General features: G+C 41.8%; 1 protein-coding gene across 4 annotated transcripts in view; it reads left to right on the top strand.

The window, feature by feature from the left end:
* The window catches only part of KIF13A (kinesin family member 13A), a 228510-nt gene that overhangs the window by 194354 nt on the left and 14630 nt on the right, over window positions 1-19526 (top strand). For 2 of the 4 annotated variants that reach the window (NM_001105566.3, NM_022113.6), the window contains exons 26-35: window positions 3372-3410; window positions 5407-5506; window positions 7641-7767; window positions 9581-9636; window positions 11981-12105; window positions 12376-12552; window positions 13598-13690; window positions 14183-14335; window positions 15928-16005; window positions 18220-18267. In NM_001105566.3, coding sequence (NP_001099036.1) covers window positions 3372-3410; window positions 5407-5506; window positions 7641-7767; window positions 9581-9636; window positions 11981-12105; window positions 12376-12552; window positions 13598-13690; window positions 14183-14335; window positions 15928-16005; window positions 18220-18267 — 996 coding nt within the window. The remainder of the gene's footprint in view (window positions 1-3371; window positions 3411-5406; window positions 5507-7640; window positions 7768-9580; window positions 9637-11980; window positions 12106-12375; window positions 12553-13597; window positions 13691-14182; window positions 14336-15927; window positions 16006-18219; window positions 18268-19526) is intronic. The other 2 variants (NM_001105568.4, NM_001105567.3) reach the window with 1 other exon arrangement.

Genomic DNA, 19526 nt, shown 5'->3' with positions numbered 1-19526 from the left:
GGCAAAACGCCGTCTCTACTAAAAATACAGAAAATTAGCCAGGTGTCGTGGTGCATGACTGTCATCTCAGCTATTCAGGAGGCTGAGGCATGACAGTCATTTGAACCCAGGAGGCAGAGGCTGCAAGTGAGCCAAGATCATACCACTGCACTCCAGCCTGGGTGACAGAGGAAGGCTGTCTCAAAAAAAATAAAATTAGGATCTTGTCCCCCAGTAGCCTAAAAAAAAATGTGTGTGCTTCATTGAGTCCCCAGTTTACTACCAGATATGAATTAGGAACTGGGAAGAATCACTGTTAAATCTGCCTCCCTCACCGTCATATGTGATCGGGAGCACTCTCCCTATCGTGCCGAGGAGAAAACATTTCTCTATGGAGTCTGAGTGTAAGCCCAGCCAATCTTGAGGATGTTTTCTCTTCTATCTTAGTTTCCTTTTGGCTTCCTGGCTTTCAGGCAAAGTCTCTTCTGAAAGCTGAAAGTCAGTGCACAGACTATTGAACTTCAAGGCAGTAATAGCTTTGTCAGATGCTGCCTGCCTTCTTCAAGCCCAAAATTCCCTCTAGCTCGGAACATCTGTCCACACTTCATTCAGAGTATGAGTGTAGGTGCAAGGACAGGGCTGCTGTGGTTTGGTAGGCTTCTCCACCAGACTTTTCCTTGTGTGTGTGCAGCCCGTGGAGCAGGAAATGGGATTGTAGGTATTCTCATAGCAGTTCAGTCCTTCACTTAGCCATCAACTTCTACGTGGCTGCACGGTCGAAAGAGAACACTAGACTGGGAGTCAGGAAACCTGGGTTCTTAAGTCTAGTTGAGCTTTACTAAATGGTTATCTTGGCTGGAAAATTTAAACTTTGAGTTCCCCTTTTCTCCAAACTGATGAAGTAGACTTAATAATCCTCTGAGGTCCCTGTCCACAATAAAATTTTGTGGCTTAATAAATCTCTGGTGTTCAATAAAAACATCGGCTGTGTGCTCCAAACTGTGACCTGCAGTATAAGTATATGGGTCATCAACTAACTAAATGTTCTCATTTGAGGAACATTCCAAGGATCAACTATTTGCTGCTTTTTTTTTTTTTTTTTTTTTGAGTCTCACTCTGTCCCCTAGGCTGGAGTGCAATGGTGCAATCTTGGCTCACTGTAACCTCTGCCTCCTGGGTTCGAGCGATTCTCCTGCCTCAGTCTCCAGAGTAGCTGGGATTACGGGCACCTGCCAACGCACCTGTCTAATTTTTGTATTTTTAGTAGAGATAGGGGTTTCATCATGTTGGCCAGGCTGGCCTTGAACTCCTGACCTCATGATCCACCCACCTCGACCTCCCAAAGTGCTGGGATTACAGGCGTGAGCCACTGCGCTCAGTACTTTTTTTTTTTTTTTTTTTGAGACAGAGTCTCTCTCTCTGTCACCCAGGCTGGAGTGTGGTGGCACAATCTCGGCTCACTGCATCTTCCATCTCCCTGGTTCAAGTGATTCTCTTGCCTCAGCCTCCCGAGTAGCTGGGATTACAGGCCCGCACCACCACACCCAGCTAATTTTTGTATTTTTAGTAGAGACGGGTTTCACCATGTTGGCCAGGCTGGTCTTGCATTCCTCACCTCAAATGATCCGCCTGCCTGGTCCTCCCAAAGTACTGGGATTACACGTGTGAGCCACCACACCCAGCAACTGTTCACATTTTTTAAAAAACAGCTCTACCTCTGAGTTAAAACTGATTTTTGTCAAATTGTAAACTTTAAAATATTAGCCTTTCCCCAGTGCTATGTGCTCTTTAAGAGCATAGTGCTTAAAATTTGGACTGTAACTATTTTAAAGGCTTTTTTTTTCTTTGCTGCCATGTTCCAGGTCACGTCTGTTAAGTGTTTTTGTTGTTGTCACAGTGTTTTAGAATTATTCTGATGCAAAAAAAAAAAAAAGAATTATTCTCATGCAGTAGCTGAAACCAATGCAGAATATGCTGGTTTTGCAACAATTTCATGTCATGAATGCTTAGGCCAATTTTCAGTTAATAGAACTACCTCCATAGTTTAAAAAGTTATGATAAATTAGAGCCATTTGTTCTTTTACATTAATAGGAAGCATTAGTTCAAGATAAATTACTTCAGGATTAGGATTACATTTAATAAGTTAGTCATATAACTGATAATGGTGGTTACCAAACTAAAAAAAAAAAAAAAGCAGTTCATTTTGAAGTATATATGAAAATAATTTTGACTATATTCTTAAAGCACTTTTTAGTCATAAATCTAAATTAAGGGATTCTAGGTTCTCGTTTATAAGGAAAATTTTTTTCTACCAAGACCCTTTTGTTTTCAACGTGATTACTTTGTTTTGCCAAATGTTTTTGCAAAAATTGTTACTTTGTTTATTTATTTTACAATGTTGCCCTGTGTTTGGGACAGTTATGATTCTTTCAAGTGATTGTTATGGTCAATAGAGAGTACTGACCAATCCTTATATTCCAAATAGTATGCTATTGCTTTTATTTCAACAGTGTAGTACAGACCCTTGTATGTATATAGCCTGAGGTTGCCCCAGCTTTCCCCTGGGATGATTGCATCAGGGAAGACAGCTGAGGTTGGAGACCTCAGACATGGCTTACAGTTCTGACCTGCCATTATCTGTGTGGTCCTAAGGTTAAATCATTTCATCCTTTAAGGCTTAAAGGATGTTTGCCTCATTGCTCAAACTGAGATTGGGCAAGAGAATGTTCCCTGTAGTTTTGCCACTCTGTCTTCCTAAGCCTATCTCAAATCTCAGTCAAATAGTCTACCCCAAAATACATATCAGCTGTCTGTATGACAGTGGTATAAGGCCTGGCCCAATTATGTTGGTTCCTATCTCCAGCTAAGAGATTTCTTATTTTTATTTTATGTTTTTGGAGACAAGGTCTTGCTCTGTTGCCCAGGCTGAGGTGGAGTGGTGTAATCAGAGCTCACTGCAGCCTCCATCTCCTCCGCTCAAGTGATCCTCCCACTTTAGTCTCCCAAGTAGCTGGGAATACAGTTGCACACTACCAAATCCAGCTAATTTTTTAAAATTTTTTGTACAGATGGGGTCTTGCTATTGTTGCCCAGGCGGGTCTCAAACTTCTAGCTTCAAGAGATCCTCCTGCCTCAGCCTCCCAAAGTGTTGGGATTACGGGCATGAGCCCAGCCAAGTTTTTATGTTTCAATGACTCTTTATGTGAAAAATTCTTTATAGACAAGTGAATTAAATCCATTTTACCTTTTTTGAGATTCAATTTAGTGTTTTATTTTGCTTATGTTAGGTAAGCTGTCCATTTTAATGTGTGTTAAGCTTAAATAATTATTTTCCCTGTATGTGGTTTGAAAAACAAAATGCTTGTCCTTTGTGTTTATTTTTTCCTACCAGAGAGATGATGAGGATGGTGATGATATGGATAGTTATCAGGTATTGCTACTGCTGTCAATCCTGTGGCATGGGGCACAGCTACTGCTAATTGCCAGCATTCGCAAAGCAGAGGCCAGGGAGGAGGAAGGAGGGCCCTAGAGCGAGAATATGCAGTTTTTCACTTGCTTTTGATTTGCTTTATATGTATTCAAACACAATATTATTTCTATAGATGCCTTGTCAGTTCAAAATTTATAACTAAATATTGCCTTTTTGCTATGCCATCTCGATTTACTGGCTTATTGCTAAGCAAGACCATTATCACTGTATTAAAATGGATGATCTGGAGACTGATTTGAGTAATAATAAAACTCCTGTCTCCTGCAAATTAATTAACTAATTAATTAATTTAAAAAATGGATGATCTTAAAATATTGCAGTTATCCATCCATAATCTTTTAGATAGACTCTTATCTTTCCCATGCTAAAGTGCATTCTGCTCCTTACATCCAAGAGCTAATATTGTTGTAATATGCCATTTTACTTTACAAGACTTTTGCTGAATAGGAAAATTGGAGACATTTTATGCGCATAATTGTGTTTTGTTTAGCCAGCTTTCTTTTCTCATTTGGGTCACACTTAGTTCTCCATAACCTATAGAATTTAAATCTCAGCTTTTTCTGGTTGGGAATCTAGAAAAAATATATAGATGTGCAAATTGAGATTGTACCTAGTCAGCACTGACTGGCCTGATATCATGGAGTGTGGGGTTACGTACAAATAGTCAAAGCAGCAAACCAAGATGAAGCTTTCTGGGTTCGGTTCCCAGTCTTTGTACGGATTCTCCATACACATCTTCAAAGGATGTTTTCCCAGTGTGCCTTCCTACATGTAAAATGTGGGTACAGTGGCTGGGCGTGGTGGCTCACGCCTGTAATCCCAGCACTTTGGGAGGCCGAGGCAGGTGGATCACAAGGTCAGGAGTTCAAGACCAGCCTGGCCAACATGGTGAAACTCCGTCTCTACTAAAAATACAAAAATTAGCTGGGCGTGGTGGCGCGCGCCTATAATCCCAGCTACTCGGGAGGCTGAGGCAGGAGAATCGCTTAAACCTAGGAGGCAGAGGTTGCAGTGAGCCGAGATTGTGCCACTGCACTCCAGCCTGGGCGACAAGAGCGAAACTCTGTTTCGGGGAAAAAAAAATGTGGGTACACTGTTGGTAAAGTTTCAGAGGTCCAAGGGCTCTATTCTTGATGTAACGTCTTAAGTCTTAAACTAGAATTAGGCAAGTCAAAGAGCATTTTTAATAGAATTGATGGATTTTCTTTCCCTACTCATAATTCCACGAAGAAAAACCTTTAAGGGAAATATCAGTATCCCCTTGAATCTCAGCAATGCCATTGACTAACGTCCTGCGGCTGTTTGTGCGCTTCCTGGCACATTTTTCACAGTGCAGTCCAATGGCTGCCTAGGGGATTTCTTAAAGCATGGCTGACTGCATGTTGGAGTTTGCATGGGAGATTTTTGCTTAGCCTCGTGGTGGTTGGAAGTAAAATGTTTGTGGCAAGTTTGAAAAGTTCTCTGCTGACCTACTCTTTGCATTTCAGAAAATCTATGTTATCAGACCACTGAACTATGGAGCTATGAAAATGCCTGTCATTTTCCATTCCATTTGTTGTTACTTGGTTTGGGCTCTGTTCATGCTGTCCTTCTGTTTGGGATCACAAATCCTGCAATGAATAGCTACGATTTAAATATACATACACTCATTGTAAAAAAAATCTGACAGCTGGTATAGTTTGAGCTTGTCTTGCTTTTAAGTATAATTATCCTTCTGGAGATCCAGGGGCTCTGATTTCTGGGTAACAGCATCCTTGATCAACATGCAGTGTTACTGAGGCCTCTCTGCTTTCTTGCATATTAATCACACAGCAATGTTCAACAGCTTTTCCTAATGAAAAATTTCCTAGTTGATTTAAACATCTTTTAAAAAAAGAAAGAAAGAAATCGTTGTCTGTGCAGTCTACAGGAAAATATTTTCCCTCCCTGATGTTAGGAAGAAGACTTAAACTGCGTAAGGGAGAGGTGGTCAGATGCACTCATTAAACGACGAGAATACCTGGATGAACAGATAAAAAAAGTCAGCAATAAAACAGGTATGTGAGATCAAACTCTTTTATGGGGAGTAGCTTTTTCACTTTTACACAATGGCAGTAGGTCGTTTTCTTCCCCTAACTGGACAGTAGTATCTTATTTTTGTTGTTGTTGTTGTTGTTGTTTTAAGACAGGGTCTCACTCTGTCACCCAAGCTGGAGTGCAGTGGCAGGATCATATCTCACTGCAGCCTCTAACTCCTGGCCTCAAGAGATCCTCCTGCCTCAGCCTCCTGAGTAGCTGAGACCACAGGCACAAGCTACCACTCCTGGCTCATTTTTAAATGTTTTGTAGATGGGGTCTCACTTTGTTGCCCAGGCTGGTCTCAAACTCCCGGACTCAAGTGATCCTCCCACTTCAGCCTCCCAAACTGCTGGAATTGCAGGTGTTAGCCACTGCGCCCAGCCTGTTTAGTTTTGTGAACTTGTAACAATTATAGACATCAGTCAATCATATTATACATTGTTGGTTTAAGAGGCCTCCAAATTTGAAAGTAGTAAGTTTTCATAAAACTCAGAATTATCTCATAAAACTGTGACATTAAATGTCAAATTCAAATTTCGTTTTGATGAACACAAATGTGATCAATACCAGTATGTCAATACAAGGTACTTTAGGCACCAGGACCTAGGACATACAGCAGCTGAAGGGTCACTTCTGAAACCAAACCGCTTAGCAGGTCAGCACCTATCCACTGTTGGGCCATTGCCATGCACTCCGCTGGTTCAGGGTGGCCCCTACAACTCTATTCACTGCCACTCAGCTCCAAGGGTGCAGTTTGCTTATGCTAGCAGTGGCCACTTGGATTCTAGAGTAGAAATATGCACTTAAAATCCTTAGTCTGTCATCCAGACATCATGGTCCACTCACGGTGGTTGGTTCTGCAGCAAAGAACATACACATCATGCATGTTAATCCATTTCATGTAGAAGCTAGCAGAAAGTCTCCCTCAGGAAAACACCTTGGCTCAACATGTGATGTCGCCTTGTGTGTGTGCTCAGGCTGCTAATGAAAACTCACTTAGACTGTACCCAGGGAGCCCCAGAGTTGAATTATGAATAAGAGGATTTCAAAGTATATCAGATAAAATCCCTTTCATGATAAGCCTCGAGGAAAATAAAGGTGATTTTACAGAGTAAGATATATGGTGGGTTTTTTATTTTTTTATTTTTATTTTTGAGATGGAGTCTCCCTCTGTCGCCCAGGCTGGAGTGCAGTGGCATGATCTTGGCCCACTGCAACCTCCTCCTCCCAGGTTCAAGCAATTCTCCTGCCTCAGTCTCCTGAGTAGCTGGGACTACAAGGCGCCCACCACCACGCCTGGCTAATTTTTGTATTTTTAGTGGAGACAGGGTTTTACCATATTGGTCAGGCTGGTTTTGAACTCCTGACCTCAGGAGATCTGCCCACCTCGGCCTCCAAAAGTGCTGGGGTTACAGCCGTGAGCCACCGTGCCCGGCCTATGGTGTTTTTTAATCCTGTCTTTGTAACATCATGTATAGTTCTATAAAGCAGTGTCACATCCGTATTTCATTTGATCCTTCCAGCAAGTACATGAAGTAGATACGACTTCTTTTATCCCTGTTTGACAGGTTAAGGAGACTCATCTGTTGGATAACTTCCCCAAATTACAGAACCAGTAAAATAACCTCAGTCTCATAATTGCTGTTCCAATGCTCTTTCTGCTATTTCTGGCTTGCAGTTCCTTAAATTGGTGTTGAAGCCCCTCTTAGCTCCCTATGCATGCTCTTGCTTGAACTTCAAAGACTCAAATCCATTTTAGGGACATAGTGGATGGTTAAACCACTTATAGATAGCACTGAGTGAAATCTGTTTATTGTTTTTGTTTGCTTGTTTTTTGAGACAGGGTCTCTTGTCTGTTGCCCAGGCTTTAGTACAGTAATGTGATGATAGCTCACTGTAGCCTTGAACTCCCAGGCTCAAGTGATCTTCCCACCTCAGCTGCCTGAGTATCTGGGACTACAGGCATGCGTACCACCACCCTGCCCAACTATTTTTTTTTTTTTGGTAGAGATGGGGTCTCACTATGTTGCCCAGGCTGAAATCTATTCCTTGTAAACTGAGAAGTCATACTTTCTCTCTTGTTGGCATTGATCTCCTCATTTTTTTCTGCAGAGAAAACAGAGGACGATGTGGAGCGGGAAGCCCAGCTTGTGGAGCAGTGGGTAGGGCTGACTGAGGAAAGGAATGCTGTGCTGGTGCCAGCCCCAGGCAGTGGGATTCCTGGGGCACCTGCCGACTGGTAAGGCTGCCCTCCCTTCTGTGCAGACCTGGGGAGATGGTACAGGTCGCCTGTGGCAAGAGCCATGCAAGAGACTTTCCAGGATTGTCACAGAAAATGCCAACCAGCTGAACTACTTAGGGAATGTCCACTCATCTCTAATGCTTCCATCCCTTTTTTTCCTTCCCCACCGAAGCCAACTTTCTCCCACAGGAAGCGAGAGAGCATTGATTACCTGGCCAGGAATCACATACCACTCCTCTGTTCCTCTGCATAAGCAACTTGGACATTGTTCCCTGATGCCCAGAAACTCTTTTATCTTGGCTGGAAAGTATTTGAATAGGACAGAAAATATATTAGTGGAGCTATTTTTTTGGTAGTATTGTGAGAATTAGAGATAATGTATATAAAATACCTTATATATGATAATACTATCTTGTATATTGTAATGTGTATAAAACACCTTTCATACCCATTCATTAAATCCTAGCTGCTGCTGCTTATTCTCATTCTCATTTTTATTATAACATATCCAGGGCATTTAAGAGAAATCAGATTCCTTTTGAACACAGAATGTACATGCCCAGATAGTCTTTTTTGAACTGGCATAGAAACATTAGTGATAATACCTGCATCTCTAATGATAAAGGGAAAAGTAATCAGTTTCGTGGTCTGTTTTCTGAAACTAGAGACTCTGAATCTGCAGGCACATAATTCATAACCTGATGTTTCTCCCTGCAGTTCCTGCTGTTGTGCTGGAATCCTGTAGGTCTCTTGCGGTAATTCTGCCAGCCACTTCTTACAGACAGCCTACTCACCCCAATCTTGTTCTGGCCCTCAAAGCCCTCTCTAGACAGTTTGTCTCCTTACTTCAGTCTCTCTCGTGTAAAGTGTTTTCAAACTTCAGATCATCTTGAGTGTTTGTAACATGTAGGCCTGGGTGTCATCCCTAGTTATGTTGATTCAGAAGAGAAAGGAAGGACCCACGACTCTTCTTTTTTTATTTTTTTAAATAAGAATTTGCATTTCTAAAGGGACTCTTCACTTTAAGAGGCCTCTGAGGCGGTTCTGATGCAGCTGGGCAAGTTGGGTTTTTTTGTTTGTTTTTTGTTTTTTTGAGACAGGGTCTCATTCTGTTTCCCAGGCTGGAGTACCAGTGGCACGATCTTGGTGCACTGCAACCTCGATCTCCCAGGTTCAAGCCATCCTCCCACCTCCCAAGTAGCTGGGACCACAGGCCTGTGCCACCACACCCAGCTAGTGTTTTTTTGTTTTTTTTTATAAGACAAGATCTCCCTGTGTTGCCCAGGCTGGTCTTGAACTCCAGTCCTCAAACCATCTTCCTGCCTTTGCCTCCCAAAGTGCTGGGATTACAGGCATGAGCCACCATGCCCATCCCTGGGCCAGTTTTTGATAAAACACTGCTTGGTCTCTTCTGTACACAACCCTCCCTCCTTTCACACATCTTTCATTCTGTCCTTTGAGCTTTGAGCTTTTGTTTACTTCCTCTAGGCTCTGATCCTGTCCCGTTACCACCCTAACAACATCCCCCCTTCCCTTTACCTCTCATGGGAATTATTTTTAGAAAGGCTTAAAATCATCTTTGTTTCAATTAATTACATGTAACTCATATAACTGGAAGTTCTTTTATGTAAGTCATATAATTCCCATGATTTATGTCTACAGGGAAGTCAAGAAATATGAAAGTATTTCATTAGTGGAAACTGCATCTCCACCATGGTTCTCTTTGCTTCCACAGCTCTGTGGTGTTTTATCAGCTAACAAGATGTAAAATACATATTTTGTTATGATTAAATGTTGTTATTAAATTTAGGATCCCACCTCCTGGAATGGAAACCCACATACCAGTTCTCTTCCTCGATTTGAATGGTAAGTAGACACTTAAAGTCACAGGGATTATTGTATTTAACTAAGGTTTGTAATCTATCCAGATTCACATTATTTTGATCCTTAAATCACTCTTCTAATCATTCATGTGCCAAATTGGGTGACATTTTTGTTCTCATTAAACGTATATAAGCATGATATGTGGATAATCAAAAAAAGAGCACATAGGGTGATTGAGAACTGCATGCACGAGCATTAGCACAGTTGCTCTGAAACAGTGGACATAGAAATTACCCTGGAAAGTAATCACCCCTAGAGATTCTGAGTCTTTAGGCTTGGCAAGGGCCTATGAATCTGCATCTCTGACTAGTGCCCTTAACTCTCCTCAAATAGTTTTGATGGCAGAAGTGATCACACTATAACCCTGCCTTAGGGGTTGTCCTTCATATTGCAATTAGATGGAACCTGGGCAAGTCTAGAACAATGGTTTCCAATGTGCTTTAGCAGAACAATCCTTTTCTAAACGAAATATTAACTGGAACCCCATGTGTAGAAAACAACGGCAGAGTTGCTGAGTTTGCAGTGGGCAGGATCCTGGTAGATCCTTTGGCAGGGCCCTAGGGCTCCTCAAAACACAGCCTGAAAACCTCTGTTCTAGAAGGAAGCCCAAAATAATGGATGGAAGACACAGGGAGGGTGGCTTTGGCTCTTCATGTGAAGAATTTCTTTTTTAAAGCCTAGATGTTGAATGTATGCCTCATAAGATAGTGAGTTCCCTGTCATAGGAGGTATATAAACAAAGACTAGTTGGCCATTTACAGAGATTTGTGAGGGGCGAACCCCATATTGGATAGGATGTTGGAAGAAGATAATCTTCATATTTCTCCCAAGTGCTCAGAACTTTGATTCTAAATTGATTTCATTGCTAAAATCTCTAATTTATAGTAAGTTATTAAGTAGGACAACAAACCTAACAGTTTACAGGAGGAATTGACCTCAGAAAGCAGCAAAATTCTAAGATTTGTTTTGTTTTGTTTTGTTTTGTTTTGTTTTGAGACAGAGTCTCACTCTGTCACCCAGGCTGGAGTACAGTGGCATGATCTCAGCTCACTGCAACCTCCGCCTCCCGGGTTCAAGCAGTTTTCTACCTCAGCCTCCCAAGTAGCTGGGATTACAGGCACCCACGACCATGCCTGGCCAATTTTTGTATTTTTAATAGAGACGGGGTTTCACCATCTTGGCCAGGCTTGTCTTGCACTCCTGACCTCGTGATCCACCCAGCTCGGCCTCCCAAAGTTCTGGGATTACAGGCGTGAGCCACTGCGCTCAGCCTCCGAGGTGTGTTTAATGAATATATTTGTACCTAGGACAACAAAGAATATATTCATTCCATCTTATAGGAGACTCACAAGGCAACTTTTTGGCTCCTGTTGTATTTTTAAAGAATAAAAGCAGCCGGGTATGTTGGCTCATGCCTGTAATCCCAGCACTTTGGGAGGCTGAGGCGGGTGGATCATGAGGTCAAGAGATTGAGACCATCCTGGCCAACGCGGTGAAACCCCGTCTGTACTAAAAATACAAAAATTACCTGGGCATGGTGGTGCACACCTGTAGTCCCAGCTGCTCGGGAGGTTGAGGCAGGAAAACCGCTTGAACTTGGGAGGCAGAGGTTGCAGTGAGCCAAGATCACACCACTGCACTCCAGCCTGGGCTACAGAGCGGGACTCCATCTCAATAAAAACAAAAAAAGAATAAAAGCTGTGGGGCACGATGAGCTTATGCCTGTAATCCCAGGGCTTTTGGAGGACCATGCAGGAGGACTGCTTGAGTTCAGGAGTTGGAGACCAGCCTGGGCAACAAAGATGGACTCCATCCCTACAAAAAATTTTACAAATTAGCCAGGCATAGTGGTGTGTACCTGTAGTACTAGCTACTCAGGAGGCTGAGGTGGGAGGATCTCTTGAGCCCAGAAGTTCAAGGCTGCAGTGAGCTATGATCAGGCCGTGCACTCAAGCATCAGCAACAGAGCAAGACCTTGTCTCAAAAAAAAAAAAAAAAAAAAAACCCAAGTACAGTGGCTCACCCCTGTAATCCCAGCACATTGGGAAGTCAAGGCAGGAAGATTCATTGAGCCTAGGAGTTCAAGACCAGACTGGACAACATAGTAAGACCTCATCTCTATTAAACATAATGATTTTTTAAAAAAGAAAAAAAGCTGTTGTGAGTCTTGGAGTCTCTATTTCAACTGCAGAATAAGGAATGAAAGAAAAAAGAAAAATGTGTTATGTGTAAACTTCAACTGTAAAAAGCATATATTTAAATTTTTGGTGTTTGCTTAAAAACTGACTTTCCCCTACTGTTTTTTCTGTGCTCCTGATGTGGTTAGCGGATGACCTCAGTGCCAATGAGCAGCTTGTTGGCCCCCATGCATCCGGCGTGAACTCCATCCTGCCCAAGGAGCATGGCAGCCAGTTTTTCTACCTGCCCATCATAAAGCACAGTGATGATGAGGTAATTAACCCCCAAGTTTCTCTTAAAAGGCTTCAGATTAGCACACAAGGCTTGTGGGCCTGCTCACTAAACTGCTATGGTTTGCTTTGGGGAAAAAGACCGGGGACTTTAAAAAATAGAACATTTGTGTTGCTGTTTAAAAAAGGTGAGGAAAGAAATCTATTTGATTACAGTGAGTTGAATTTATTTTCTTTCTCTTGTATGTCCTGTAAAACTGCTACATCTGACTTTTGTCTTGTTTCCATCTCCTCATCATTCCCCAACTCCTAGGTTTCAGCCACAGCCTCTTGGGATTCCTCGGTGCATGATTCTGTTCACTTGAATAGGGTCACACCACAGAATGAAAGGATTTACCTAATTGTGAAAACCACAGTTCAACTCAGCCACCCTGCTGCTATGGAGTTAGTATTACGAAAACGAATTGCAGCCAATATTTACAACAAACAGGTAATAACGGGGCCTGATTGTGCCATTCTGGCTCTGAGCTCAAAAGATTTTTCCCTCTCTCTATCACAAAGCAGTGTTTTTTGGTGCTGTGATGTGCAAAACATGACCATCCTGGCCAAGTTATAGTCTGATTCTCATTTATCCAAGGTAGTGGGCATTAGGATAGCAGAGGTCAATGTCATCCAGTAAGGGCAGTTTCACCTTGACTGATTGGAGAGGTGTAATCCTACCAGGCAGTGGAGCTGTGATATTTCACTGTTTGAAAAGTAGAAAAACTGAGGCTGAGAGATTAAGTGCCAGGTCCAAGCAAGTGAGTGACAAAACCAGGACAAAAGGCAGACTCCAAACAAATCCCTATCCTACTGCTTTGACGGATCCCATCTCAGAGGTGCTGTCAGTGAAACTGATCCTCTCCAGTGTTGTTCTAGCCATCTCAGGAAAGACTGATTAAGCCCTGGAGAGATCACAGGAAGGCAGCAGATGGGAGAGAGAAGCAACCACAGAAATCCTGAACATGCTGCAGATTCTGTAGTCAAATTCCCAACTAACAGCTGGACGTTAGTATCCCTTGGGGTTGGAGACAGGGATTCTTAGCTTCAGTTTTTTCTGTTATGCTGAGTATTCTGCATTTCAAAAACATAGTAACTTGTAATGCTTCTACAATTTGTAAAATACAAAATAACTGGCTGGGCGCGGTGGCTCACGCCTGTAGTCCCAGCACTTTGAGAGGCCAAGGCGGGCGGATCACGAGGTCAGGAGATCGAGACCATCCTGGCTAACACGGTGAAACCCCGTCTCTACTAAAAATACAAAAAAAAAAAGTTAGCCAGGTGAGGTGGCAGGCGCCTGTAGTCCCAGCTACTCGGGAGGCTGAGGCAAGAGAATGGTGTGAACCCCAGGGGGCGGAGCCTGCAGTGAGCCGAGATCGCGCCACTGCCCTCCAGCCTGGGCGACAGCGAGACTCCATCTCAAAAAAAAAAAAAAAAATACAAAATAACTTACATTTGTCACATAGCTTAATACAGCTTTTTTTTTTTTCTACTAGAGTTTCACGCAGAGTTTGAAGAGGAGAATATCCCTGAAAAATATATTTTATTCCTGTGGTGTAACCTATGAAATAGTATCCAATATACCAAAGGTAAAATATATGCTACTTTAGGCCGGGCGCAGTGGCTCATGCCTGTAATCCCAGCACTTTGAGAGGCCGAGGCGGGTGGATCACCTGAGGTCGGGAGTTCGAGACCAGCCTGACCAACATGGAGAAACCCTATCTCTACTAAACATACAAAATTAGCTGGGCATGGTGGCGCATGCCTGTAATCCCAGCTACTCAGGAAGGCTGAGGCAGGAGAATCGCTTGAACCTGGGAGGCAGAGGTTGCAGTGAGCCGAGATCGCGCCATTGCACTCCAGCCTGGGCAACAAGAGCGAAACTCTGTCTCAAAAAAAAAAAAAAAAAAAAAAAAAAAAAAATATATATATATATATATATATGCTACTTTAAAAAATATCAGTATCTAAATAATGGAGAATGTGTTCATTCTCCAGACTTCTAAAACGTTTTCTCACCACACTTTGGATGAAAACGTTGTTCACATCAAAGTATTGTCACTTCCTTCCTGTCCTCGTAGGCAACTGAGGAGATAGAGGACCGGGAAACGCTGGCTCTCCTGGCAGCAAGGAGTGAAAACGAAGGCACATCAGATGGGGAGACGTACATTGAGAAGTACACTCGAGGCGTGCTGCAGGTGGAAAACATTCTGAGTCTTGAACGGCTCCGGCAGGCAAGTAACTGAATATCTGGACCGAGGATGAAAGCACCAGCCTTCACCCCCAATGGACAGATATGAATTTACTTACCAAACACCTCACTAAATCTATCAGAGAAGGAGCACTTGAGCCATCTCTATTGAAAGGACTCTGGCAAAATAGTAACCAAAATAAAAATAATGACTAACTTTTATTGAATAACCCCTACTTGCCAAGCACTGAGCCTGAGTAATTTAGGTATATTATTTCATTTAATCTTCAAGATAACCCCCTGAGGTAAGTACTGTTGAAATCCCCATTTTCAAATGAGAAAATTGAGGCTGATAGAAGTTAGCTAACTCACCCATGGTTACACAGCTAGGAAGTGGTACAAAGTCGGATGTAAAGCCAAGTAGCTTGACTCCAAAGCACATATGCTTAAACACAGACTTACTATCTCCCTAATTTTTAGACCTGAGTTAACTTTTGAGGTGACAACAGGTCATTCAAGTGAAAATAATCCACTAAGTAATGCAACTATAAGATAAGATATGTCATTTCATAGGAGCAATAGTTGACATTATTGGGGGAGGTGTTGATTAATAGGAGGAATGTAATTGGCATCTGTCAGAAAAATCTTCCCTTAGTGGAAATCCCACCTGAATTGCTGCATGAGTAAAATACAAACAGCATCACACTTCATTGTCATTTTGCAAATGAGATACATAGTTAGAAGTACCTCTTCTACATTTTCTCTGTCCACCTGTATAAAAATTTCACAACATAAATGTCTTCCATTCTGCTGTTTTCCTGGTTTTATTTATTTATTTGTTTATTTATTTTTGAGACAGAGTCTTGCTCTGTCGCTCAGGCTGGAGTGCAGTGGCACAATCTCAGCTCACTGCAACCTCTGCCTCCTGGGTTCAAGCAATTGTAGTGCCTCAGCCTCCCAGATAGCTGGAACCACAGGCACCCACCACCATGCCCAGCTAATTTTTGTATTTTTTAGTAGAAACAGGGTTTTACCATGTTGGCCAGCTGGTCTCGAACTCCTGTCTGTGATCCACCTGCCTCAGCCTCCCAGAGTGCTGGGATTATAGACATGAACCACCACACCCTGCAGTTTTATTTATCTTAAAAAAAATATTTTTGATAAATTGCTAAACAAATAATAATAAGTGGGTAAAATAATATTTCAGTTTTATAAATGTGTATGTATGTAGAACTGATGCAGTCTATATTTAAATCTATAAATAAACATATGTTACTTTTATAATTAGAATAAAAAATAAAGTAATGGCCGGGTGCGGTGGCTCACGCCTGTAATCCTAACACTTTGGGAGGCCGACGTGGGCAGATTGCCTGAGCTCAGGAGTTCAAGACCAACCTGGGCAACATGGTGAAACCCCGTCTCTACTAAAATACAAAAAAAAATTAGCCGAGTGTGGTGGCGTGCACCTGTAGTCCCAGCTACTCAGGAGACTGAGGCAGAATTGCTTGAACCCAGGAGGCAGAGGTTGCAGTGAGCAGAGATCGCATCACTACACTCCAGCCTGGGCAACAGAGTGAGACTCTGTCTCTGGGGAAAAAAAAAAAAAGTGTTATTTTCAAATTATTATGTTTACAGGCCGTCACAGTCAAAGAAGCACTTTCCACCAAAGCCCGGCACATTCGGAGGAGCCTCAGTACACCAAATGTTCATAATGTAAGTGCATCCTGCCAAGGATCTGCTCCTATGTGACATGTCGCAGCCTCTGGGGTGGGGGAAGGTGGGATTCACACAGTGGCAGTAGAGCTTATGGAACTGGTGTGGGCATCCCAAAGTGTAGCCTGCTTCTCTGTACCAGGGACACACACCAGGCAGCACAGTTGTCTAAGACTGAGCCATTTGTTCAATCTTATGAATTCCTGTTCAGCAAGTTATCTCCTTGAAAGAAGTTCCTTAAGATATAAATTGAGTTTAGTTGGTTACAGATGGTGGAGTCAGCTATGAATACTTGCACCCGAGTCCCTGGACGCTGGCTGCTCCAGGGTCAGTTTTTGTGCCCATTCTAGCTGCCCTGGTGGCTCTGAGTCTGCCACCATCAGTGTGATAAGGAGTCAGCCACTGCATGTAGGCACTCTTGGAGTCCCTAGTTGTTCCTTTGACCATTTTCGTTATTTTTCTCAACCAGTTAATCTAGAAAATCCAATTGACAGAAACTGATCCTAGCAGGGGGGACACTGTCACAGAGGGATAGGACAGATTAGTGCATGGAGCACTTCTAAGCAGCCACTTCCCAGAAGCAGCTGAGTAGAAGTAAGGTCTTTCCAAGGAAAAACACAGGCTTATTTGCCTTCCTGTTCTCTAGAATTGCCAGAAAATTATTTAAAACATGGTGGCCACTTACAAAAATTGTCCTACAGTGGGCTACAGAGCAAATCCCAGTAATTATTATCACACAGATTACTTCTTCTGACCACAATGCATTTATTAGAAATAGATAAGAGAGACTCATATAGTTGTAAATTGAAAAACGCTTTTCATGAACTCATTTCTCAAAGAAGAAATTATGATGGAAATTAGGATGTATTTAGAACTAAATGAGAATAAAAATGATACATAGATCAGTGTTTGTGCAATGCAGCTAAAGTGGTACCTAGAAATTATTAGCCCTAAATTCCCTATAATTCTGTATAAAGCAGAATACTAGACAGTAGAAAAAATGAGAGAGTGAGGGCTACTATTAGGAAATATATAGCTCTTATATTAAAAAGTAGAGTAAAAAAGAATTAGGTAAACATCTAGCTTAAAAAGTAAAGAAGATCGGGCACGGTGGCTCACGCTTATAATCCCAGCACTTTGGGAGGCTGAGGTGGGCAGATCACCTGAGGTTGGGAGTTCAAGACCAGCCTGACCAACATGGAGAAACCCGGTCTCTACTAAAAATACAAAATTAGCTGGGCATCGTGGCAGGTGCCTGTAATCCCAGCTACTCGGGTGGCTGAGGCAGGAGAATCGCTTGAACCCAGGAGGAGATTGCGGTGCGCCGAGATTGCGCCATTGCACTCCAGCCTGGGCAACAAGAGTGAAACTCTGTCTCAAAAAAAAAGTGAAGAAAAACTGCTTATGAAGTAATCTAAAAAAAAAAATATTTTTTTCAACCTCAATCTGATCAAGTAAAGTCTTTTGGAAGCCAAGGCGAGAGGATTGCTTGAGGCCAGGAATTTGAGACCAGCCTGGGCAACATAGCGAGACCTCATAACTTGATGTTATGCCAACAAATGTAAAAGCTTAAATAAAATGGAAATGTCCTGTAAAAACTGAATCAAGAAGAAATAGAAAACCTGAATACAGCTATCACCAAAAAGAAGGACTATACTAAAATAATGACTATTACTATGCTCGTTGATGAGAATTCACAGTATCAAAAAATTGGCATGTCCTTAAGCTAATCATTCTCAACAGAATTTTTTGTAAGATTTGATAAGCTGATTCTAAAACCTGTATGGAAAAGCAGTCAAAATATACTCCTGTACAACCCAGAGATTACATCCCTTAGATATATACTCTAGAGATTCTCATAAATATACAGGTTGTATTTAGAATTAAATGATACTAAAAATAGTACACATATCAATACTTGACTAGACTATTGAATAAGACCATATATAGTAAGATACCACTTATGTGAAGCATAAAATATGCAAAATAATGTTAACTATTGGTTATGAGTATATACACATACAATTATATAAAACTTATATGGGAATGATAAACCCCAAATTGAGAGTAGTCACTACTCCTGGAGAGGGAAGAAAGAGGAGGAGAAGAATGAAGACTGCAGGCTTCAACTGTGACATTCTGTTTCTTTATATAAAAAAAACCCCTTATATTAAATATATAAACCACATTGCTAAAACCATTCTTCTCTTATAGGTCTCTTCCAGCCGACCGGACCTTTCTGGCTTTGATGAAGATGACAAGGTATGCACCTATGGGCATGGCTAGGTTTTTAGTAGAATCTTAGTCTGGAAAGTTGTGGGATCTTGGTGTTTTTAAAATCTCTGGGCCTCACCTGGTTGATCCTGTCAGTTTAAAAAAAAAGAAAAAGAAAAATCTCTGGGCTTCCCATCTTAATTGTAAGCAAATAACTCTCTCCACAACTCCATTTCCAGGTTCAAATACTTGATGTGATATTGCTTTGCACTTCTTTTTTTTTTTTTTTGAGACAGAGTTTCACTCTTGTTACCCAGGCTGGAGTGCAGTGGCATGATTTTGGCTCACTGCAACCTCCACCTCCCAGGTTCAAGCGATTCTCCTGCCTCAGCCTCCCGAGTAGCTGGGATTATAGTCATTTGCCACCACACCTGGCTAATTTTGTATTTTTAGTAGAGATGGAGTTTCGCCATGTTGGCCAGGATGGTCTCGAACTTCTGACCTCAGGTGATCGATCCGCCTCGGCCTCCCAAAGTGTTTGGATTACAGGCATGAGCCACCATGCCCAGACAATTGCTATGCACTTTCAGTATTACATTGTTACTTACCATGATAGGTTCCATACCAGGACAGTACCACACATAATTGAATAGATATCTGTGTGTTTATGGGTTTAACTCTAAATGATTGGAGAAGGTGTTACATCCACCATAGCATAATCAAAATTATTTCAATGGGTAAAAGAGGGGATTTAAAATTAAGGACAGATTGCAACATGATCTTATTCAACAAATATTTCTTGAATACATATTATATATGAGTTACTATGCTAGAGACTAGATGATCCAAAAGGTATAAGCACAGATTTATGTCCTTAAGAAGTTTAAAATTTAGTCTTCAGAGGCAATCAACTCCTGATAAGTTGACATAAGATTAAGTAAGCTCGTATGATATGCCAGCGTTTTCTCTGTTTTGTATACCAATACTTTATGCCTCTTTGAAACTTTTAAATCTCAAATATAGGTAGAGTAACCACACTGCCAAATTTGCCTTGGACAGTCTCAGCTGTGCCTTCTACCCAGGCAGAATTACTAATGGAACAGTTGTCCTTTGAGAGTGTTTCAGTTTGGTCATTAAATTATCAAGTCACTCTGGGTATATGCCACATTGCTCAAAGTAGCTACCTCTGGGGAGGAAGGAAGATGAATGGGACCAAAAGATCACACTACATTTGTAATAATTTTATTAAACTTGAGCAAATATAATAAAATATTAACATGTATTCACTCCGGGTATACCTTGGATAT

Source organism: Homo sapiens, chromosome 6 (genome assembly GCF_000001405.40).
Source record: "Homo sapiens chromosome 6, GRCh38.p14 Primary Assembly".
Lineage (NCBI taxonomy): Eukaryota > Metazoa > Chordata > Mammalia > Primates > Hominidae > Homo > Homo sapiens.
This window is presented reverse-complemented; position numbering and strand designations above follow the sequence as displayed.